The sequence below is a fragment of the Homo sapiens genome, chromosome 5, assembly GCF_000001405.40.
Source record: "Homo sapiens chromosome 5, GRCh38.p14 Primary Assembly".
Taxonomy (NCBI): Eukaryota; Metazoa; Chordata; class Mammalia; order Primates; family Hominidae; genus Homo; species Homo sapiens.
The window spans coordinates 10,464,844-10,488,655 of record NC_000005.10 but is presented as its reverse complement, the minus strand read 5'-3'; the positions used below and the strand labels follow the sequence as shown (position 1 = coordinate 10,488,655).

The 23,812-nt window shown below is 48.8% G+C and overlaps 1 protein-coding gene and 1 non-coding gene across 7 annotated transcripts in view, besides 3 other annotated features; both read right to left on the bottom strand.

Annotated features, from left to right (window-relative positions):
- Positions 3,285 to 3,579: an enhancer, noted in NCBI's record as "tiled region #12995; HepG2 Activating non-DNase unmatched - State 10:DNaseD, and K562 Activating DNase matched - State 8:EnhW". NCBI's record gives its function as "activates a minimal TATA promoter and a strong SV40 promoter by Sharpr-MPRA in HepG2 and K562 cells {active_cell/tissue: HepG2 | K562}" and the evidence as "EXISTENCE:reporter gene assay evidence [ECO:0000049][PMID:27701403]".
- Positions 3,285 to 3,639: a biological region, named in NCBI's record as "Sharpr-MPRA regulatory regions 9329 and 12995".
- Positions 3,345 to 3,639: an enhancer, noted in NCBI's record as "tiled region #9329; HepG2 Activating non-DNase unmatched - State 10:DNaseD, and K562 Activating DNase unmatched - State 8:EnhW". NCBI's record gives its function as "activates a minimal TATA promoter and a strong SV40 promoter by Sharpr-MPRA in HepG2 and K562 cells {active_cell/tissue: HepG2 | K562}" and the evidence as "EXISTENCE:reporter gene assay evidence [ECO:0000049][PMID:27701403]".
- ROPN1L (rhophilin associated tail protein 1 like) overlaps positions 5,849 to 23,812 on the bottom strand; it is a 40,929-nt gene continuing 22,965 nt past the window's right edge. For 2 of the 6 annotated variants that reach the window (NM_031916.5, NM_001201466.2), the window contains one exon: positions 23,630 to 23,808. In NM_031916.5, coding sequence (NP_114122.2) covers positions 23,709 to 23,808 — 100 coding nt within the window. In that variant the 3' untranslated portion in view covers positions 23,630 to 23,708. Of the gene's footprint in view, positions 5,887 to 6,352; positions 6,783 to 9,238; positions 9,286 to 14,504; positions 16,847 to 23,629; positions 23,809 to 23,812 lie in introns of those variants that run through there. The other 4 variants (XM_017009947.3, XM_006714504.4, XM_047417808.1 and 1 more) reach the window with 4 other exon arrangements.
- MIR6131 (microRNA 6131) lies at positions 10,511 to 10,619 on the bottom strand. The gene has a single exon (NR_106747.1). It is a non-coding gene; the product is annotated as a microRNA 6131 (primary transcript).

Below are 23,812 nucleotides of genomic sequence, written 5' to 3'. Positions count from 1 at the left end.
AAGGGGCCATGGGGGGCTGCCATGGCAGGTGGCAGAGGGCAGAGCAAAGAAGGGGCAGACATCGCCCCTATCAGTTTGCTTGGGCTGCACTAACAAAGTATGACAGATCGGGGCTTAAACAATGGAAACTTACTGTCTCACAGTTCTGGAGACCAGAAGTTCAAGATCAAGGTGTGCATAGGGCTTGTCCCCTCTGAAACCTGTAGGGCAAATTCCTCCTTGCCTCATCCTCGCCTCTGTGGGTTGCTGGCAATCCTCATCATCCCTGGGCTTCCAGCTGCATCCCCCTAATCTCCGTTTCTGTTGCTGTTATGCGGCATTCTTCCTGTGTCTCTATCGTCACCTGGCTGTCTTCCTGTAAGGACAGCAGTCATCATGGATTAGGGGCCCACTGTCGTCTGGTAGGACCTCATCTTAACTATTTACATCTGCAACACCTGTTTCCAAATAAGGCCACTGCCTGAGATACTGGGGGTTGGGACCTCAACGTATTTTTCTGGGGAGACACAAAGTTCAATCTGTAATGCCACCTTTGTCAAAATTGTTTCTGGAATATTAATTAGGCTCATTCACTCCACCTGAGGGTTTTTGTTTTGTTTTGTTTTGTTTTGTTTTTTGAGACAGAGTCTCACTCTGCTGCCCAGGCTGGAGTGCAATGGTGTGATCTGGGCTAACTGTAACCTCTGCTTCCCGGGTTCAAGTGATTATCCTGCCTCAGCCTCCCAAGTAGCTGGGACTACAAGTGCCCGCCACCACACCCAGCTAATTTTTGTGTTTTTAGTAGAGACGGGGTTTCACCATGTTGGCCAGGCTGGTCTTGAACTCCTGACCTCTGGTGATCCACCCACGTAGCCCTTCCAAAGTGCTGAGATTACAGGCTTGAGCCACCACACCCCACCCTGAAGAACTATTTTTATCTGCACAATGAGTCATTCAAACAAACCCTTTCTTGGAAATCTAATCTGTTGTATCCCAGAAGATTTTAAAATATAATTACTGTGCTTTTTTGTTGTGTTTTTTTTGGGTTTTTTGTTTGTTTCTTTGGTTTTTTTGTTTGTTTGTTTGTTTGAGATAGAGTCTTGCTCTTGTTGCCCAGGCTGGAGTGCAGTGGCACCATCTCAGCTCACTGCAACCTCCGCCTCCCTGGTTCAAGCGATTCTCCTGCCTCAGCCTCCTGAGTAGCTGGGATTACAGGTGCCCACCACCACGCCCAGCTAATTTTTGTATTTTTAGTAGAGACGGGGTTTCACCATGTTGGCCAGGCTGGTCTCGAACTCCCAACCTCAAGGGATCCGCCCGCCTCAGCCTCCCAAAATGCTGGGATTACCGGCATGAGCTACCTCGCCCGGCCTATTGTGCTTTTTTCCCTTCCCCTCGTCTCTCCCCAGTGCGCACTGAGCACGCTCCTGGCGGTAGGATGCAGAAGGCCTGAGTTAACAAGGCCTTTCATTCACTCTGCAAGGAGCAGGCTGGTGTCCCAGGGAAGACCCTGGAGGGGAGGGAGGCCCCTAGTCCTGCCCGCAGCTGACTATGCGGGAATCACTGGGGCAGCAGTGGGCTGGGCCACAGCCATGGAGGAGGTCAGGTCCTAGGCCAGGGCATGAGGGTGGTTAGAGAGGAGTGAGTGGGGACAGCCTGCTGCGGCTTGGCGGATCCTTGGGCACAGACCTCCCTGCTCCTCCTTGGCCCTCCCTCCGGGAGGCGCAGGCTCAACCTCCTGCGTTCTTTCCTGTGCAGCTGCTGCGCTCAGCCTTGAACACCCTCCCGACCTTGGGGCTCTGCTGCCCCACGCGGAGCCCCCATTTCAACAGATGCAGACACCCCAAAGCCCCTTCCCAACAGCCCGAAGAGAAGCCCTCCTCTGAAGAGACAGCAGAGAAGCAGAGCCCCCTGGGACGCCCCCCAAGACCTCCACGTCTCCCCAGCACCCGGCGGGGGGGTGGTGCATGCACTTCCCGTGGCTGCGGGAACAAACTGCCACACACAGGGAGGCTGAACACAGCAGAAGTCTATTCCACACAGTCCTAGAAGCCAGAGGCAGTGACATCAAGGTGCTGGACGGCCGCCCTCCCATCGGAGGCTCTGGGAAGAATCTGTTCCTTCCTCTTCCAGCTTCCACGACTCAGGGCAGCACCCCTGTAACCTCTGCCTCCATGGTGATATCGCTTCCCCTCTTCTGTGTCAAATGTCCCCCTGCGTCCCTCTTCACCAGAATAATCCCCTCATCTCAAGTGCCTTAATTTAATCACACCTGCAAAGTGTTTGCCGCGTAAAGTAACAATTACAGTTTCCAGAGATTAAAACCTGTTATGTTTGGAGGCCATTATTCTACCTACAGAGAGGGGTTGGCTTAGGACACCCATTCTTGTTGCCGGGTAAAGCTGCCCGGGGGGCCTGGAGGAAGCCTGCTCTGTCTCTTTCAGCCCCCACAGGTACCCCAAGGGGGCCGCCACTGAGGTCCTCGGGCTCTGATCCAAGTGTGAAGTGAGAGCAAGTTCACTCCTTTCCCTGCTGGCTCTGACACAAGTTTTCCGTGTGGCCAGGGATGGGTGTGAGCAGCCCAGAGCAGGGGCCGGCCCAGGCTTGGCCAAGGCCCACACATCTGCCTGGCCCAGTCATGCCCAGCTCCATCTGAGATGGAACCACCAGCGCTGGCCACCTGGGTGGCTTCCTTGAGGGCTAGCTCGCAGCTCTTCGCCAATATCTCATTCAAATCTGCAGGTGCTAGGCCGTAAGTCTTCACTCCTTCAAAGTGGGGTGCCAGGGCCAGCAGCAACCCCCCCCCCCCACCCCGCGACCTGGAAGCTTGTTGGAAAAGCAGACCCTCAGGCCCAGCCTTGGCCCTTCTGCATCAGAATCTGCATGTTTACCAGATGCCCGGCAGTCCTGGGCCCATGACAGCGAGAAGCACGTGGAGAATCAACTCCAGTGCCTGTTCCCCTCCCACCAATGCAACTGTTCATTCCATTCAAGAGCTGGTCTTTTCTCTTCTGGCAGGAGTGTGGGCTGCCTGCCTCCCCAGGGGATGGGCGTGTGGTTTAGAAGCCAAGCAGTGCTCATTTGGTTTATTTATCTTCCTGAGACTTAATCTATTTTGAATTTCAGATAACATTCTAAAAAGGCTTGGCTTGTTTTTCTTATCTAGGGGTGGGGTAAGTGCGCTTGTGTTGAGCAAAGTTGAGAAATATTTCTGCGGCTGATCACGGAGCTTCAGACCCACCATCCCTGGGGCTGCCTTCCCAGTAATCTCTAAAACCCATCTGATTCGGGCCCTTCCTGCGGTGAACATCTGTTTATCCACATGGCGCTCTTCCCTTCCCTTTATAAAAGGTCTCCACCCACGGGAAGGAGGCTGCCAATCACAGCATGCCCACCCTCTCCTCCACCCATCACATGACGCAGGTCATGTGGTGGTCACACGACACAGGCCTGCCTCTGTAAAGCATCTGTGCCCCTGGCCACAGTTGATTGGTCTGCTGTTGACACGTGACTGAAACTAGACCAATCAGAATCCCTCCTTCCTTGGGGTTTTTAAAATCAAGGCTGAGAAATTGTTTTTCAGGGATCTCTAACCTGCAATGATGTCAGAGAAGTACTGCTATCTGGAGGTGCTGGCTCATGGCAGCCTGCCCTATGGAAGTACCTGCCTCCCGGTACCCTGCCCTGTAGAATTTTTCTGCCACACAGAGGTTGCCTGCCACATGGAGAATGCCCACCTGCAGGGGAGGAATGACACCAGGCACAGAGAAACCTAGATCAAAGGGGGAGCCACAGGGTGTCTCGGCTCCATTCGCAAGCCACGTTATTCTTCCTGATGTCCCTGCAGTCACTACGGTTCTTAGAGCTCCCCAGAGTCCTAACACATTCCCTTTTCAGTCTAGTTGTTTGAATTTGATTTCTATCTTTTGCAACGGAAAAAGTCCTAACACATTTCCACTTTGGAAATCTTCGGATAGCAGCCATGTTGGGTCACAGGATATCATTCTCCTTATTGCCATTCAGAGACCTTTCCAATCTAACTCCATGTCCCTCACCTCTTCCCATGGAAATTTAGCTCCTGCACTTGACTCTTCCAAGGTACAGATATAGCCGGGGTTCTTTCATGCACCTGCTGGACTATTCCAGACCCCTGTGAAGCTCTCCCGGGTGCTTGCTGAGCAATCCCAAGTGCCTGCAGGACTCTTCCAGTTCTTTGGTGGTTGTTCGTTTTTGAGACAGGGTCTCACTCTGTCGTCCAGGCTGGAGTGCAGTGGTGCAATCACGGCTCACTGCAGCCTTGTTCTCCTAGGCTCAGGCGATCATCCCACCTCAGCCTCCTGAGTCACTAGGACTACAGGCATGCACTACCATGCCTGGCTAATGTTTTGTATTTTTTGTAGAGACAAGGTTTCGCCATGTTGCCCAGGCTGGTCTTAAACTCCTGGGCTCAAGCGGTCTGCTCACCTCGGCCTCCCAAGTAGCTGGGACTACAGGCATGCAGCACCACGCTCAGCTAATTTTTTAATTTTTGTAGAGAGCGGTGGGTTGGGGGGGGTCTCACTAATGTTGCCCAAGCTGGTCTCAAACGCCTGGGCTCAATTTCCAGTCCTTTTGTTTCCTCCCAATACTTGAGTGTCTGCACCTGGACAACAACATTATCCCATGTCATTGTTATAGTTAGCATCTCTCTTTCCCCTGGCTAGGCTGTAGACACTCCAGAGAGACATTGGGCCTGGTAGCCCAGGGTCCTAGTGGATTTCAGATCATAGAACATGCCCAACACGTTATTGATGGACCACGCAGATTCTCAGTGTGGCTTTTGAACTCTATGTTGGTGAACATACTGTGTTTCGGTGAATGTTTGCGAATGCTCGCAGAAAGGCCATAACCCACCTCCCTGCCTCAGCCTCCACCTCTGGAAAATGGAGGAAATAAAAGCTCTCCCTCATGGGCTTGTCAGGAGGACTCAGTGCCCGCGAAACATTCAGGACAGTGTCTGGCATCCAGTAAGCATCTCAGAGCATTTTGTGTGTCATTTACATTTTCTTTCCTCCCCCACCTCCTCTGTTTCACTCACCCTTTCCTTCTCATCTTCTCCTGCTATTTCTTCACCCCATCCCTGTCTGTCAGCCGAGGGAATCATTGGATAGCACGGGCACCCACCTCTGCAACAGGGAAATGCCTGGGGCTGGCTGTTTGGCAGCTGAGAATGTCTGCTGAGATACCCCTAAATAGAAGACTCCCTCCAACTCCGTGTATCTATCCCATCTGCTGCTTTCCAACCTCACCCCACTGCCCCAGTTTAGAGCCTCTGTCTAGACAGGTGCAGATGCTCTGACCCTCTAGACGTAATCCCTGGTTTATCTCGCTGGGAGCACCAGGCTGGAGACCCCTGCAGAGGACACGTCGCAGTTGTGCTGGCCCAGGGAGTTAGCGCAGGCTCCAGCATTCTCTCAACCCCCAAACAATCTTCGCTTAAAAGGTGAAAACGCTCATTTTCTTTTGCACACGTGCTTTTGGCTCTGATGACTCCATTCCCACCAGTCAGAGTCTCTTAATAAACATGAGCATGTGAGTAGTCAGTGCTGACTGTCTGGTTATATTCTCTGAGCAGCCAGGTAAGCTTGGGCATGTCCTTCTGTCATCCAAGTGTGCAGCCCTGGACCCCAGAGTCAGGGCACTGGGCAGGGAGGGGCCCTCTTGGTGAACCCCCTAGGTCAGCAGCTGGCAGCACACCTGGAAGCTGCTTCCTCACAGCTGGATCATGCTGCTAAGTTCTACCACGCTGAGCTTTCAGAGTGACTCCGTGTTGTCATCCTTCTCTTCATATAAGGACAAGAGTCATTGGATTCAGGGCCCACCTTAAATCCAAGATTATTTTATCTCATGATTCTTCACTGATTGCAACTGCAAAGACAGAACTTTCGAGTAAGGTCACATTGACAGATTCCGAGTTGACCTGAAATTTGAGGGGAAATTATTCTACCCACTACCGTGTCCATCCCTCCCCTTCCCACCAGGACCCCAGTTCCAAGAGCCCTTTCTCTGCCCTCATGCCAGAGCCCTGGCACCCAAGTTTGTTGGGCCATTAGACCATTACATCAGAGTTCCCCACTCCCCTAAAACCTGATCTCTCCTAACCTTTCAGAGCCCCACATGCCACTTAAAAATTCCCCAGAATTTATGGGAAAGAAATGTACATGACATTGATGTTATCAAAATGTCCATGAGTGACATCCACTTTTTGTTTTTCTGATCCGCTTTGTGTTTTCTGGAGCAGGTCTTTAATATACCAGAAAGGCCTTCCTAAGAGGAACTGTTTATGATACAGGAAATAGTAGCATTCGAAAAGGTTTATCTTTTACGGTTTTCGTTTTGTTTTGTTTTGATTTTTAATTGCGGTAAACTATGATAAGAAAGTGTAGCATTTTAACCTTTTTTTTTTTTTTTTGACGGAGTCTCGTCTGTCACCAGGCTGGAGTGCAGTGGCATGATCTTGGCTCACTGCAATCTCCACCTCCTGGGTTTAAGCGATTCTCCTGCCTCAGCCTCCCGAGTAGCTGGGATTACAGGTGCAACCATCACACCCGGCTGATTTTTGTATTTTTAGTAGAGACAGGGTTTCCCCATGTTGGCCAGGCTGGTCTCGAACTCCTGACCTCAAGTGATTCACCTGCCTCGGCCTCCCAAAGTGCTGGGATTATAGGCATGAACCACTGTGGCTGGCCTGACTCTCCTCTTGTTCCAGATTGTCTTTTCAGATGCAGCAAACAGCCTTGGAGAAGCAAAGAGGTGGTGTCTCCCTACAGAGCAGAGAGCAGGTTTGGTTATTACCTAATATTATAAAGATAACATCTCCCGCTGGGACAAAGGTTAGGTGTGTTTGCTTACTGCCCATTATAAAGCATCTGCATCCCCTGAGCTCAGGGTTTTCCCTCGCTGATGCAAATTCACTGCGCGGCAGCATCCACCTGGGCCCCCCACGTCACCCCCATGGGGTTTTGGGGACATAGGGAACCAGTGCAAACATTAAGCTTGTATTAACCATGTCTTCCATTCTCTGCATTCTGATGCTTTGATATCTGGGACCTTGCTGACCCTGGAGGGACTGCCCCACCCAGTACTAACCAATCCCCAGAGATAGTAAACCAGGCTCCTGCAAACATGCTTTTCAAATGCAAACCAACCAGTTGCAAGCCCATGCCCCAGACACCTCCTCTATTGGGTTTTCACACTCCAGGCCACTATCCACCTGCCTAATCACCCTGGGAGCAAGTACCGGACAACTAGGGACACAAACAAGGCTTTTGCCCACATGTCCGCTGTCTCCTGAGCCTGCTAACAACGCTCGTGGCCCTGCATAGCTCAGCGTGGCCCCTCCTCCTGGGAACTGGGAGTAACAAACTGTCCTTTCAATGACAATCATTTCCTGATCTGTTGGCCTTACTATAACTCAAATATTGCATTAATACACCACATTTTAAAGCAAAACTTATGCTGCTTGCTGTGCTGTGAGTAGCAAAGTCCTTTGTCTCTGCCCCGGGAGTCTCGTGTCATTAGGCAGCATTTGTCAAACTGGCAGGCTAACTTTTAGCCTAGGAGTAGGTAAAATCTCAGACCCTTCATAGCTCTTGACAAGACCCAGGTCTGCTACTGCGGTGGGTTTCATAGGAACTGTGGTGTTTGACGGAAGAAACAGACGATCTGGAAGCAGAGAAGAGGCCCTTCCTGTCTCCCCCTGCTCAAACTGGGTGTGAGAGGAAGTTGGATCCACTGGAAAGAGCTGTGGGTGGGCAGGGAGCTAGGTTGTCTGGCTTTTTTAGAAGGAGGAGGTAAATTTGAGGTCAGAGGGGGATTTGTCAGCCCCAGCTGTGGAGTTCTCAAGCAGATCCTCTCAGACATCAATGAGCACACGAGCTGCCTGGAAATCTGATTCTGACTGGGTCTGAGCTGGATCCCAAGATTCTGCATTTCCAAGGCTCTCCCAGGGGATGCTGATGCTGCGGGTCCTTGGACCACACTCGGAGGAGCCACTCACACTGGAGGACACACTCAACATAAGGCCACACTCGCTGGCATGCCTGGAGGATGGGGAGGGGAGGGCTTCCATACGGCTCCCACCTGGACCCCACTGCCCCCGCCTCACCGACCCACCCCAAGCACACGCAGTCTCAATTCCAATGTGTGCATCTGTTCAGCAACCAAAATAGGATTCTCCAGGCTGTGCCTCCCAGGGGATCCTAGGAATTTCCTGGAACAGAGATGGGGTTTTCAGGATGGCCCTGGTCTCCAGTCCCCTCCTGACAATCCTACTCCGGGAGGTTCATCTGGATCCCCCTCCAGCCTCCTGGAAGTCTGGCTGCGCATCAATTGCCTGGCACATAGATGACAGCCATTAAATGCTTTTCGAATTAATGAAAAAAATCTATCAGTCTATATTTGTGTATTTCGTAGCTCCAGGGGACAATCAAAAGAAAATAAAATCCCCCAGCTGAAATAACTACATTGGTTTATGGCCTATTTATTCATTTATCTGCCCTTGTGGAAGCTAAGAAGTTCCTATTTTTAGCACCTCCCATGCTCAGACATGGGTTATTTTTTGTCTTCAAACTCTCCTAAAGAGTTGACATGTTGGCTGGGCACAGTGGCTCATGCCTGTAATCCCAGCACTTTGGGAGGTCGAGGCAGGCGGATCACCTGAGGTTGGGGGTTCAAGACCATCCTGACCAACATGGAGAAACCCCGTCTCTGCTAAAAAGACAAAATTAGCCAGGCGTGGTGGCGCATGCCTGTAATCTCAGCTACTTGGGAGGCTGAGGCAGGAAAATTGCTTGAATTCAGGAGGCAGAGGTTGCGTGAGCCGAGATCGTGCCATTGCACTCCAGCCTGGACAACAAGAGAAACTCCGTCTCAGAAAAAAAAAAGAGTTGACATGTCCCAGCCTATTACCGCAAAGCCGTGCCGTGCATTTAGTGAGAGGAGACAGTAGGGACAGGAGCTCAGGCAAGAGGCCTCCTCTCCCACAGTGCCCAGGAAATAGTCACAAGGTGAGACGCCCGAAGCAGCTGCCAGCCGAGTCCCAGCCTGGCGTCCTGTGCTCTCCCTCGGGTTTCCAGGGAAGCAGGTGTGGCAGCCCCACCTCTGCCCACCCTGTTCTCACTCCACTTCCAGAGAGGAGGGTGCGGGTGTGAACTCTGCAGCCCGTGTTTGCAACTCTGCCAAGTAGGCGTGACCAAATGGCAATTTAAAAGCCACTCACCTAAAGATGTGGGGTGTCTGAGCCAAGCCTGAGCGCCCATTCTAATCCTGTAGAAATATTTGAAAGAGAATAGTCATCACATCTGGGGGGCTGGGCTCAAGATTTTTCTAGCACTGACTCACTCACAGAACTTGGGCAAGTCTTTACATTCTCCAGGTCTCAATTTCTGCATGGAAGCATGGAGACAGTCATTGTAGACCAGTGTCACTTTCCCTTATATGCTGGGGACTTGAAAGAACTATTACACACTCCAAAGTGACTAATTTATAGCTTAATCACTTGTAACATCTTTCTAACCTACTCACACACGTTACCATAATTATAGCAGCCACCTCAAAAACAAGGACACCAGGATAATCATGAAAACACTAAAAACAGAGTGCTAAAATATAGCTGATTTCGAAGGCATTAATCTTCCTAATCCTTCTGTGTGGACAAGAGGCTGCAAATATTGGTGAAAACATCATCCTCATCATCATCACATATCTTTACAACACCCTATATATTCTTTCCAAAATTGGCCATGCCATTTTGCCATCTTTTCCCGCTCCTGAGATAAGTAGAAAACTATTCTTATTTTCTCCAATTAGCACTTCTTTTAGGCATTGGAAACCTAGCAAGATTTGGGGAGGAAGATTTACTGGCTTGAAGAGTGTTTCCCACCCCAAAATTCATGTCCACCCAGAACCTCAGAATGTGGCCCTATTTGGAAACAGGGCTGTTGCAGATGTCATTAAGATGAGATCATACCACAGTAGGGTGAGCTCTAAATCCAACGACTGCTGCCCTTTACGAGAGGAGAGGATGCACAGTCGTACGCACAGAGAAGACCATGTGAAGAGGGAGGCAGAGATTGGAGTAATGCACCCACACGCCAAGGAATGCCAGGGATTGTCAGCATCACCAGAAGCTGGCAGAAGCAGGAAGGACCCCCACCCCCAGCCAGAGCCTTAGAAGGAAGTGTGGCCCTGCCAATCAAGTCCGGGAAGCTAGAAGTCCAAAAATTTCTAGCCTCCAGGACTGTGAGAGAATAAATCTCTGTTGCGGAAGCCCCTGAGTTTGTGATACTTTGTCGGGGCAGCCCCAGGAAGCTAATACAGAAAGGGTACTGGGAAACTGGGAGCCAGAGGCTCAGAAGGGAGCTCACAGAGGCTGCAGGAACTCAGCTACCACTCAAGTATCTGGAGAGGGCTCAAGGTTTCTCTGGTTGCACCTTGATCCATCCCAGTAGACACACAGTGCAGGGCCCACCACGTGCAGTCATGAAGCCGGGAGGACCCCGGGTCTCTGTCCACTCCCATCTGACCAGCCAGAACCCACCATCTCTGGCTCTACCCATGGAAGGAGGGCACCACCTGACCAAAGCAGAGGGAATGCGGGATGAGAAGGGGCAGCAACGAGTGTGCCTGATGTGCTCGCTGCTGATTAAAGCTTCCTTCAACAGAGAGTTTTATCCTGGAGGATTTTGAATAGTTTTTTTTCTTTTTTTAGACAGAATCTCACTCTGTCACCAAGGCTGGAGTGCAGTAGTGTGATCTTTGCTCACTGCAACCTCTGCCTCCCGGGCTCAAGTGATTCTCCTGTCTCAGCCTCCCAAGTAGCTGGGATTATAGGTGAACGCCACCATACCCAGCTAATTTTTGTATTTTTAGTAGAGATGAGATTTCACCATGTTGCCCAGGCTGGTCTTGAACTCCTGACCTCAAATGATCCGATTGCCTTGGCCTCCCAAAGTGCTGGAATTACAGACATGAGCCACTGTGCCTGGCCTTATCCCAGAGGATTTTCCAGAATATTAAGCATACATGTCCTCTTCCTGCCATCCTCACGGAGCATCTGCCCTCCTGTCATCTTGCTCCTAAGTTTCCCGCCCTTTTCCTCAGGTCCTGAGAGAGTCTTGATGGCTGACCCAAATCCTTCCTTCCTGTCCATCAACAGATGTCAGCTCAGTTCCTGGCTGGCTGCGTGTCCTTGTTCCACCTGTAGTAGGACCGCTTTGCTTTCTTCATCTATACAGTGTGAATAACGGTAGCAGGAGCTACCTATAGATGAAGGTAGCAAGTCTGTGGACTAGCAAGTCCGTGGACCAGGACATGGAGCGCCCCACACAGTGCCCAGGTCAGTGGCCCTCGGTAAATGTGGGTTAACCTCTTTAACATGTTGAAAAAGGTCAAGGTTAACTGCATAGACCCGGGGTCAGCAAACAATGGCCCACAAGGTAAAAATGGTTTTTACACTTGTAAGTAGTTGAAAAAGTTCAAAAAGAAAAATATTTTGTGATGTGGAATTCTATGAACTTAATTTTAGTGTTCATTAATAAAGTTTTATTGGAACACGGCCACACTCACTCATTTTCATATTGTCTATGGCTGCTCTCATGCTACACAGCAGAGCTGAGCAGTTGCAGCAGAGACTGCATGTCTGCAAAGCCCAAAAGATTTACTATATGATGCACTACAGAAAAGGGTTGCAGGTCTCTGATAGACTCGAGCCAAATGATCTAACTTCAACTCCCAGATCCAAGACTTACTAGCTGTTTGACTTTACACAAATTATCTGCCTCCATTTCGTCTCTTTAAAATGGACATGATAGTCCTCATTTTAACATATTTTTGTGAGAATTAGATACATTATTATTTTTAAGGTCTTAGTGCCAGCATATAAAAATACAATTGATGGGTTCGATTATTTTCATGTCTTTGTTTTAATGCTCATTCTAACTCTTTAAATATCACCGTCCTTCTACACCAGAGTAAAATGTAAAAAAATTCTCAAGCCTTCTTTCCACTTGAAACACAAGAAAAGTTCTTTAAAACTGACTTATCATTTTCTTCTTTTCATCGTTGTTCCACATGCAAACAGATCCAGAAACCTTAGCTCAGACTTCTCAAATCCCAGATGGATTGTAATTTGTTATATTGGAGAAAAAAAGAAAATCTGTGCTCCCTAGCAGATGCACAAGGACTGTTTTGTTAGTCACATCTGCCACGTTCCTACTTTTCAGCACTAAAAGAACTTTTTTGCAAGCTCTTCAGATCTTGATTCTGAAATGCAAAAGCAGAATGATGAGGCACGTATTTCCCACCTTGCCAGAGATGTTTTCCTTCTTTACCTAAATGGTCTGGAGTTTACACGCAATCATGCCCCGCAACACATAGAGGGGTCTGGCAGAGCTGGAACAGGAGTTGGGGACATTGAAAGTTGCCCCCTCAACACGCTCTCACTTCTTCCATGTGATCAAGGGCATGTGGCTGCTCAGCTAGAGACTGCATTTCGCAGCCTGCTGTGCAATTCAATGTGGTCACGTGGCTAAGCGCACCGCCTGCCGGCATGTGAGGGGAGGTAATAGACACCACTCCTAAGTATGGGCCTTAAGACAATGGCCTCCTCCCTGCTCTTCACCTTCCTATGAACTGCACCCATGCAGATGAGGGTGAAAGTCCATATGATGGCAAAGCGACAAGATGGACAGGACCTGGATCCCTGAATGATCATGTGGAGCACAGCAGTTCCATCACCAAGGACCCTTCATCTGAGGACTGGTATTTGAGAGAAAATAAACTTCTACGTGCTTTAAGCCACTGTGTGATTTGTTACTTTGTTACTGCAGCTTAGCTTTACTCTAATAGAAAGCCTCTGAGTCCATTACTTTCTGTAGTTTACAGAAGAGGAAACAGAGCGATGGGACAATCCTCCCCAAATCCCATACTTAGTTGCAGAATCAGGTCTGGAACCCAGTCTCTTACCCTGTTGCCCCATGCTCTGTCTGCTTAACTTGGGCATTATTTTTTATTTATTTTTATATTTTATTTTATACTTCTCCCTTCTTTTCTCAAGTGTTGAAGTGGGCATTATGTTTACTCTTTGGAGACAGGCCTATGTCACTTCAGCTCTCTGAAATTATCACCTGGTGCTTGGCACATAGTGCTACTTGCTGCTGGGAACAGTGCATCAGTCTGGGTCCAATCAGGAGAGAGAAACCACAGAGTGATTTGAACAGGGAAAGTTTTATATAAATAATCAGTAAGGACAATAGGGTCGGGGTACGAGGAACTGGCTGGCAAGAAGTAAAGATAATTTTACAGAATATATGAATAGCAGATATGAATAACAGCCATTACCCCAAGGACTGGAATGGTACACCCAGAGAAATCCCCTTGCCCTGAGCTGAGATCCAGGTCTTGTTGAAGAGGGTGTGACTGTGGCTTGTAGAACTGCAGAGAAGTGGCTGTGGTGCCCTGCTAGCGGAACTTGCTAGAAGTCTGCCATCTAGATGGCACCAGGGAAAGGCGTCCCTGGAAAGATGTCTTTCTGGAGGTTTTCTGCTACAAAGCCACCTGAGAGGCTTCTGAAGGGAGCTGCTGGCCACACCAACAATAATAAGCAAGCAATTTCCATTCCCATCTGGAACACATTTATGTTTAACCACTGATCAACTTTTGCCCATCTGTTCTCTATTTTCTTTAGAGACTTTTAAACTTGTTTTTTTAACTGTGTGATTTGTCTCAAAACATGACTTTAAAATATACACCCATTTTTAATACTTGGTCATAAAAAACCACCAAATCAGCAAAAAAGCACAAAATCAAGGCTCAAGCTCAGCCGCTCCTATTCAGTTACAATTTGGGAGGAACTTTGGTCAGAAACTGCATTCCTTTTCTATTGTTCTATAACAAAGTATCGTAAACTTAGCAACATGATCCATATTCATCATCTGACCTTCTCCATGGGTGGAGCGTCCAAGCCCAGCTTGGCTGAGTCCTCTGTTCACCTGGCAAGAAACCTCATCATGGCGTGGGCCGAGGCTGCAATCTCAACAGAGGCTCTAGGTTCGCTTCCAACTCATCCAGGTCATTGGCAGAATTCAGCTCCTGGCAGTGTAGAGCTGAGGTCTCGTTTTTTGGCTGGTAGTCGGCTGGAGGTCACTGTCAAATCCTAGAGGCCATCCTCATGTCCTCAGCACCTGGTGCCCTCGCAGTGACAGCTTATGTCTTCAAAGCCAGTGTGAGAACCCCTCTCTAGTCTGCTACTGCTGAGTCATGTCACAGACCACAATCGAGGGGGTAATTGTCCCACCATGTACTGTCCCGCTGTGTACCTGACTATACACAGACCTACCTACACTCAAGGAAGGAGATTCAATGGGGCGTGTCTGCCAGTGGACGGAATCTTGAAAGCCACCTTAGGATTCTGTCTGCAGCAGAAACTCATTGAAAACCTGTGGAAATTAGAAAATTTTCCTTTTTTTTTTTTTTTTCCTTTTTTTGAGACACAGTCTCACTCTGTAGCCCAAGCTGGAGTGCAGTGGTGCAATCTCAGCTCATTGCAACCTCCACCTCCGGGGCTCAAGCGATTTTTGTGCCTCAGCCTCCTGAGTAGCTGGGACCACAGGTGTGCGCCACCACGCCCAGCTAATTTTTTGTATTTTAGTAGAGACGGGGATTTGCCATGTAACCCAGGGTGGTCTCGAACTCCTGCACTCAGGAGATCCACCTGCCTCAGCCTCCTAAAGTGTTGGGATTACAGGCATGAACCATTGCGCCCAGCCAGAAAATTTTTCTAGAGCAGGTCTATCTTCTCTCCATTCTAGAACTCTCTCTTATCCTCCAAATGAGCCAAGATTCTTTCAGTTCTTCAACTTTCTTCAGCCTCAACCTCTCCCCAACCTCTTGATTCCTTAAAGGGCTGTTATTTTCGGAATCAAAAGAAAACCAAACCCAGGTCTTGCTTCAGGGCTCTGTCCCATTTCTGGTGTCCCCTTTGGACTTGGTTTGCAAGAAAAGAGGTAATAAGTGTGCTCATTTCCTAGGGTTGTTGAAACACATTACCACAAACTTGGTGGCTTCAAACAGCAACAATTTCTTGTCTCACAGTTCTGGGGACCGTAAGTCCAAAATCAAGGTATCGGCAGGACCCTGCTCCCTCTGAAGCTTTTAGGAGGGAATCCTTCCTTGCTTCCTCCAACTTCTGGTGGCTCCAAGCACTCCTTAGTGATGGCAGCATTCCTCCAATCTCTGTCTCTGTCTTCACATGGTGTTCTCCCCTGCATTGGTGTCTCAAACTCCCCTCTGCCTTTCTCTTTTAAGGGCACCAGTTATTGGATTTAGGGTCCACCCTAAATCCAGGATGCTCACATCTTGTGATCCTTAAATTAACGACATCTACAAAGACCCTTTTTCCAAACAAGGCCACATTTGTAAGTTCCAGAGTTGAGACATGGACATATCTTTCTGGGAGTCACTCACTATTCAACTGACTACAACCAGGGAAAAGGCTGATTTCAAAGTCAGGTCAAATCAATTGCAAAGGCCAGGTATTCACCCTGATATTGTGTAAGCCTGGAGGGGGACTTGCCTGCTGGGTCTAACTAAATTGAGAGCTGAGCTGAGGTGGTGCTGGCCTTAGAGAGGAGAAGAACCATGATCCTAGCCCCTGGGAACCCTGGCACTCTGCCTTCCTCTCCTCCTCACCCCGTTAGTGTAGACAGGCTCCATGCTGGGCTCACAGCAGACTGGGAGAGCAGGGCAAGCAGGACCACTGTGTGGTGTTGGACTAGGAACTTAATTAATCTCTCTTTCTCTTCACCTATCTATAATGGCTATGAGGTTAATAACAATAATTTCCACTTGATAACATGGTTATGAAGAGTAAATGAGTTAGCGTGTGGAAAACAGGCTGAATTCTAAGATGGCCCCCAAATCCCCACCCTCCTGGTGAACACGCCCTGTATAATCCACTCTCCTTGAGGCCTGGCACGTATGGGGTTGAGCTAGATGAAATTGCTGTTTGGGGGATGAAAATTTGAGATTATCAGTAGCTAACATGTTTCAACATAACAGTGTCACGTATGTTAGTGACTACTAGCACCTACAACTCTAGACCCATATCCTAATAAGCTTTTTAATCAAAGGAAGAAGAAAAGGGCCTCTCTCTCCCAGCACCAAGCCGAAAAACCCAGAGAAGGCTCTCATCCGTCAAGTGCAGGTCATGTGCCAACTCTCTTGGGCAAATCACTTTGGCCAGGAGGGGAGCACTGTGATGGGCCCAGCCTAGATCACAAGCATTCCCTGTTGGCTACACTCCAAGCCCAAAGAACTCAGACACCAATTCTTTTTCATGATTGGTTGATGGGTGGACTTAATACATAATAAATGCATGGTTGATGGGTGGACTTAATACATAATAAATGCACGGTTGATGGGTGGACTTAATACATAATAAATGCACAAGTGAAAATCAAATGGTAGAAAAAAGTTATACAATGAGACACAGGCAGCCTTCCTCCCAACTTCTCCTCCTTGGAGGTTTCTACCAGTTTTTTCTGTGTATCATTCCAGAAACAACGTATGCACTGTGAGCATGCATATGAATATGTGGAGGTATGAGTCTCCCCCACCGCATCTTCACCCAAATGGTCGAATGGCCGTGTGCTGGACCCCACCATGTCTTCATCGAATGGCCGTGTGCTGGATATTTCAAACTTCTTTGTCTAGCACATTCCTTTAGCCTCTCCTGGCTCTTCCATGCTCTGAGCCCAGCATAGCTGACCTGTGTATCATGAGGCTTTCTTCTCTCCAGATTCTGGTTGTGCTCAGCCAGGACAAGACCCTGATGGAAGATCCCAGGATGGAAGACAAATGGAAGGAGGGTATTTATCCCCCAGTCACCTCCCTGGGGGGATGTGGGGGGTGGCTACCCCTGTACTAAAGCCACAGCTCTCACCAAGAGCCCTCTCCTCAGCCCTGCCATCTCTGTGGATCCCCGCAACAGCTTCTCCTGCACTTTCAGGCTGCGGGACATAAAACCCCACCGCAGCCAGCCCAGGGGCCTGCACCCTCCCTTGTGGGCTCCCCTCAGCCCTCCCCATATCTTAGTAAGCAGTCTCCTTGAAACCTTCTTCGAAAACCCTGTTCCAGTATTCCTAACAGGCCGCCCCACCTACACACTTCCCCAATTGAAAATCAAGGACGGATCAGACATGGTGGCTCACGCCTGTCATCCCAGCACTTTGGGAGGCCAAGGCAGGCGGATCACTTGAGGTCAGGAGTTTGTGACCAGCCTGGCCAACATGGTGAAACTCCGTGTCTACTAAAAAAAAAAAAAGTACAAAAAATTAGCCAGCAGTGGTGGCTTGTGCCTGTGGTACCAGCTACTCGGGAAGCTGAGGCAGGAGAATCTCTTGAACCTGGGAGACAGAGGTTGAGGTGAACCAAAATCACACTACTGCACTCCAGCCTGGGCAATGGAGTGAGACTTCATCTCAAAAAAGAAAAAAGAAAAGAAAAGAGAATCAAGGAACAAATTCTCCCACTCATCACTGTCCCCTCCCCAAGAGCCACTTTACTCTTCACCTTTCCTTTGGAGTTGGGCTCCAAGGCTCTGGAGTCGGACTGCCAGGACCCAGTAACAGTCCCTGCCTTTCCACCCGGGGGACTTTGGACAAGGAAGTGTGCCTCCATAACACAGGGGTAATGACAGCAGCCTTCCCTGCCACTGGGATGAGAACTTAATTAGCTGCAAAACCCGTACGTGGCAGGGGGGCCAGCCCTTAGCAGGTGCTGGGTAAATGCATTTTCACCTAAGCCCGAATATTATCCCAACCCAAATGTCCTTCCGGCCCCGAGGCCCCACGGCCAGGGCACTTCATGGATGCTGTGTGGCTCTCCTGATCACGCCCTGCTAATACTTTACGTGAGATTCAAGAATGGGACTGGGGTTTGAGGTGGGACATGTGCCCAGAAAGCCATTCCATATCCCAGGCCAACTGGCTCCAACTCAGCACAGGAAAGCGTGGGATCCCTGCTCCAACCTCGGGGAAAGCATGAAGGTTCCAGGAAACAGTGGACATCAACCCAACCCCACCTATCCAGTTTCTTTCACCTGTGGGGGCTTCTGGCCTTACCAAAAGCCAGAACGGGGAAATGGGACAGATACGGGGAATGCTGTTGGATGGAAGAGTTGAGAGGGACAGGAGTGTGAGGCCAGGTGGGTGGGCCTGGACCCTGGGCAGAAGGAGGACCTGGCTGCCCCTGGCATCTTAGTTCTAGGCCAGTCCCCTCTAAAGGGGGTTAATCCTACTTCTGTCCACTTCATGGGGTCCTGGTGGGGATCCCCTTCAATAACCAGGGGATTGTACAATTGTACAAATTGTACAAAGCAACATAATAGAGTTGGGATTTTCCTTGGAGGACGGGGGACCTGAACACATTTCATTCTTGAGATGCTAAGGCACAAAGCCGCAGGCTGACAAGGGTTTCATCGACCTCTGAGAATGTTTAAGACTTGAAAAAAATTATTGGCTGCAAATTACGGAAATAGCAAAATCAGACTCAATAAATGATTAATTTCTGTGTTCATTCCTCATTAATTGCTAAATTTAGTATACATAAAAATCTCACTACATTTGAAAACGATTTGTAAGTTAGATTCTCTCACACAATGAGAATTCACAAGTATGTTAGTGATTGCCAAGAAATAACAACTAATCGTAAATTCAATGTGTGACTCTTAGCACAATCATTTCAAAAGCAAATCATTGGCCCTGCCCAGCCACCTCAGAACTCCACCATGCTGGGTAAGCACGTATTTCTGGAGTCATCCCTGCTTTCATTCTTTTCCTATACCTCATAAACCAACAGAAGAAATATACTCCACTTTCTTTAGAGATGAAAAATACAGAAGCCAACAAATAAAGTTAGCTTGAAACCAAATAAGCCACTCGTTGCTGCCTGGACAAAGACTTAAGACACATATTTCAATGGGACAGAGCATTCTTTAAGTCATAAGATAAAACCACTGTCCACTCATCTGCATCTTGTAGCTTTTTCAATTCTGCTTCCCACCACCCCCCTCCCCACACTGCAATTAAGGAAAAGCAGGTGTTTTTCAAAGTCACACCGTATGAATGCCAGGAACTTTTTTTTCTTTTTTTGAGACGGGATCTCACTCTATCGCCCAGGCTGGAGTGCAGTGATGCAATCATAGCTCACTGTGGCCTCAACTTCCTGGGCTCAAGCTATCCTCCCACCTTGGCCTCCCAGGTAGCTGGGACCACAGGCGTATGCCACCACTTCCAGCTGATTTTTTTTTTTTTTTTTAATTTTTTTGTAGAGAAAAGGTCTCACTCCATTGCTAGGGCTGGTCTCAAACTCCTGGGCTCAAACAATCCTCCCACCTTGGCCTCCAGAAGTGCTAGGATTAAGGCATGAGCCACAGTGCCAGCAAACGCTCCATCATCTTCAGAGTTTATTTAATTTTTATTTTTTTAAAGAAAGTTGCTCTGTCGCCCAGGCTGGAGTGCAGTGGCACGATCTCGGCTCATTGCAAGCTCCGCCTCCCAGGTTCACGCCATTCTCCTGCCTCAGCCTCCCAAGTAGCTGGGACTACAGGCGCCTGCCACCACGCCCGGCTAATTTTTTGTATTTTTAGTAGAGACGGGGTTTCACCGTGTTAGCCAGGATGGTCTCGATCTCCTGACCTCGTAATCCACCCACCTTGGCCTCCCAAAGTGCTGGGATTAGAGGCGTGAGCCATTGCGCCCAGCCCAAAGTTTATTTTTAAAGTGACTTCAATTGGAAAAATTGTCTTTGACTCTTGAGGTGCTAAATCCAGATGTGGCCTCCTCTCCACGTGATAGCAAATCTCCCATTATTGTACTGGAGCCCCTATCAATCCCGTTAGGGTCCTCAGGCACCTCCTCCCATGTTCATTGCAGCAAGGGAGTTTCTGCTGTTCTCCTCCCAGAGCTACTTTCTTCAAACACACCAGCCACCTGAACAGTTTATTTTATTCAACATCTTGACCAGTTAATGATATTTGCAATAAAGTTTGTAGTTATTAAATAAACCATTTGAGTTACCCCCTAAAGACAAGCAACAATCTGACTGAAAGCCCAACTACCTATGGCTATTTTAACAAGAAATAACTGCAGGCTATGAAGGGGAACATAGATGATTCAGCCTTGTAACAAGAAGAGTCAAAATCAACAGAATAGGGAACGTGTTTTCCTTGATGAGAGGAAGCCCTCTGCCTGAGTATTCTGGGATTAGGAATCCGGTTTATGAGGCACAAACAATCCACTTTTTGCTCACAGAAGCATGGCACATTAATCAGGTGTTAGAGCAAGATATTTAAAGCTCCCCCACTAAATGGCATGGAGAGTGATCCCCCTTTATGTTTTGTTAATTACAAAATTAGCTCATCTTCCACCCATGATGGAGCTCGGCCTCTGGGCACTTGGAGCCCCAATGGTGACAGTCAACCGTGAGGCAGGGACAACCCCTGGGGGCTGGAGCTGAGCCGAGAGTGACCAGGAACCAGACGAAGACCCCCAACTGTGCTGGGGGAGGGACAGGGACAGAGCGTTAAGCAGGAGACTCCGATGTGTGGGTGATCTAAGGGCTGTGCGTCTGAGTCTCATGCTGAGCCGGCCAGTGGCCCAGCACTCAGGGGACGGGACCTGGGTGCCCACCTCCACTCTGCTCCAGACCCAGAGTCCACGCTAAGGAGTGTTCTGAAAACCTTGGGTCTGGCTGGGCAGATGAGTGCTTATCCTCCGAATGAGGCCTTGGCATTTTGGTCACTACTCTGAGACGACACAGGTGTTCAGACGGTGTCATGAAAGGAAAAAAGAAACTTGGGACCCCAGTTCACTCTGCCAGAAGGAAAACAAATGAAGCTGCAAGCTGAGTCATGCAGGAAGCTGCCTTTCCTTTTGCTCCTCAGCACAGAGCTACAGAGAAAAAGTTAAAATCTCCTCAGGTAGCAGCTCTGGGTTCACCTTATCTTGGGTGAAGCGCAGATTTACTGAGCACGAGACCATAAGATACATAACTGACGATTCCCTGTCTGCAACTTTTCCCTTGCAGCCTGTGGATTCAGTAATGACCACATCCTCCCCTCCCGCCTCCAGACCGCTTCTCCCCTTTCAACAGTGAAGCCCTGGAAATCACCCTTGGAGAAAGGCACAGACCACAGACTGCCTCTGTGATCCCGTGGTTTTGTTCTTCCAGGCACGTCCTTAACCTTGGCAAAATAAACTTCGAAGTTGATTGAGATCTGTCTCACATACTTTTTGGTTTTGTGTCAACTAGACAAGGCCAGTTTGTGTTTTGTTTTGTTTTGTTTCTGGTTTTTTTTTTTTTCTATTTACATTTCTTTTTATACCTGTAGAGCCAGTGCATGTTTCTATGGGAAAATCTGTTTGAACTTCAGAGCCCTCACTTGCCAAGTCAGGCTAAAACCATTCTGAGGGCTGGGAGAAGTAATGTGGCGCGGAGGAACTTGAGTCCCCACCAACAAAATTGACAAGGTGAAGTCGGAACCCCCAGCAACTCAGACTGTGATTGTATTTGGAGACAGGATCTTTAAAAGGTAATTAGGTTAACATGAGGTCATTAGCATGGGCCCTAAAACAATATTACCAGTGTTCTAATAAGAAGAGGAAACGAGGACACGGAGAGGCACAAGGGAAGACCATGTGAGGACCCAGGAGGAGGACAGCAACCACAAGCCACGGAGAGAGGCCTCCGGAGAAACCAGCCCTGCCAACACCTTCACCTTGGACTTCTGCTTCCGAAACAGTGAGGAAGTGTTTCTGCTACGTAAGCACTGGGTCTCCGGTGCTTCGTTCTGGCAGCCCTCACCGATTCATACAGAATGCTATTTCTCCTTCTATGACCAAGTCATTCCCAAGAAAACCCACTTTTTGAGACAAAAGCCTTTTCAAGGGACAAAGGCCAGGACTTGTTCACCAGCAGGGACGGGCCTCATCACACCCATGCTGCCGCGCGTCTCCACACTTCATGCTTTTTATTACTGAAACACCACATGCCTTTTTGATTGAGTGAAAAGCTGTTCCTGATTTATGCTTTATACATTCAGATTTTCACGTTGGAGTTTATTTACGGTGATATTCACCTATGCTCGGGCTTACAAAACTCGTCTTCAAATGTCTTTTCTTGAGCCCAGTGATGCTGTGTTGCACGCTGAGCTGGTCAGCATTGGGTGAGATTCTCTTGGTAAACGTGGGCAGCCTCCAGGGTTAGAGGAGGCAGGGGCTTCATTTCCCCTCCCCATCACCTCCCAACAAGATAGTCACAGTGAAAGCACGTCTCATCCCAGATGCTGCCAAATGGACACTTAGCAAGCTGTCCCCAAAGTCGTCATGTAATCTGTCCCTCTAAGTTTTAGAGGGGCCCACACTCGCTCCTTGGGCCCCCCAGACAGGCATTCGCACGAGTTTTCTCCAGGGCCTGAGCCCTGGCCTGGAAGCTAACCTGAAATGTATTCATTGGTATTGGCCTTTTCGAAAACTTTATAAAAGGAAAGCAAATAAAGGATCTTGGATGCTTATTTCCATTCAAGTGGATCACGCTGCTGTCCAGTACATTTCCCCCAGCCACGGACGCTAGGCCAGGCAGCAGGGTCCCTGGGGTCCACCTTTCATAGAAAAGATGCAGCCTCAGCTGCCAATGCCCTTCCCAGGGAGTCTTAGGAGGGGTAGGCAGGGAGCAAAGGGCGAGCCCCTCCACCAGCTTGGAGTCAAGAAGAAGAAAAGCCACTTTGTTTTTTTTTATTTTTAGATGGAGTCTCGCTCTAGTGCAGTGGCGCGATCTCGGCTCACTACAACCTCCGCCTCCCAGATTCAAGAGATTCTCCTGCCTCAGCCTCCTGAGTAGCTGGGATTACAGGTGCCCACCGCCACGCCTGGCTAATTTTTTTATTATTTCTAGTAGAGACGGGGTTTCACCATGTTAGCCAGGCTGCTCTCAAACTACTGACTCAAGTGATCCTCCCACCTTAGCCTCCCAAAGTGCTGGGATTACAGGTGTGAGCCACTGCGCCTGACCAAAAAGCCCCTTTTTTTGTTTGTTCGTTTGTGTTTTTGTTTTTGTTTTTTTTTGAGACGGAGTCTCGCTCTGTCGCCCAGGCTGGAGTGCAGTGGCGCGATCTCGGCTCACTGCAAGCTCTGCCTCCCAGGTTCACACCATTCTCCTGCCTCAGCCTCCCAAGTAGCTGGGACTACAGCACCCGCTACCACGCCTGGCTAATTTTTTTGTATTTTTAGTAGAGACGGGGTTTCACCGTGTTAGCCAGAATGGTCTCGATCTCCCGACCTCGTAATCCACCCGCCTCGGCCTCTCAAAGCACTGGGATTACAGGCGTGAGCCAACGCGCCCGGCCCAAAAAGCCACTTTTCAAACTGCCCAGCCCCACTTCTGACTCTGCAGTCTCCAAATAGATTATTTTCTTAAAAGAGATCATTTTACTGTTATCAACTTCTTACACTTAAGGTCCCTAAAAGACACAGTGAAAAGCAATCATGAATCAGGCCCCACGAAGCAGTCACACTAAATTCCCATTTAGAGAAACACTCACACTACAGAGGTGTGTGATTCAGGGTAAGTTGTATTTGGTGCCAGAATTTTAAAGAGCACTATTTTGACATTAAAATGTATTCTTCTCTGTATTAATGGCCTACATCTTCAGAGTTTTCAATGCTTTCTAAAAGTTTCCTCTTTGGAAAGAAGAAATCTGAAAGACCTATCATGCCGTTCTTCCTGGCGTCTCTAA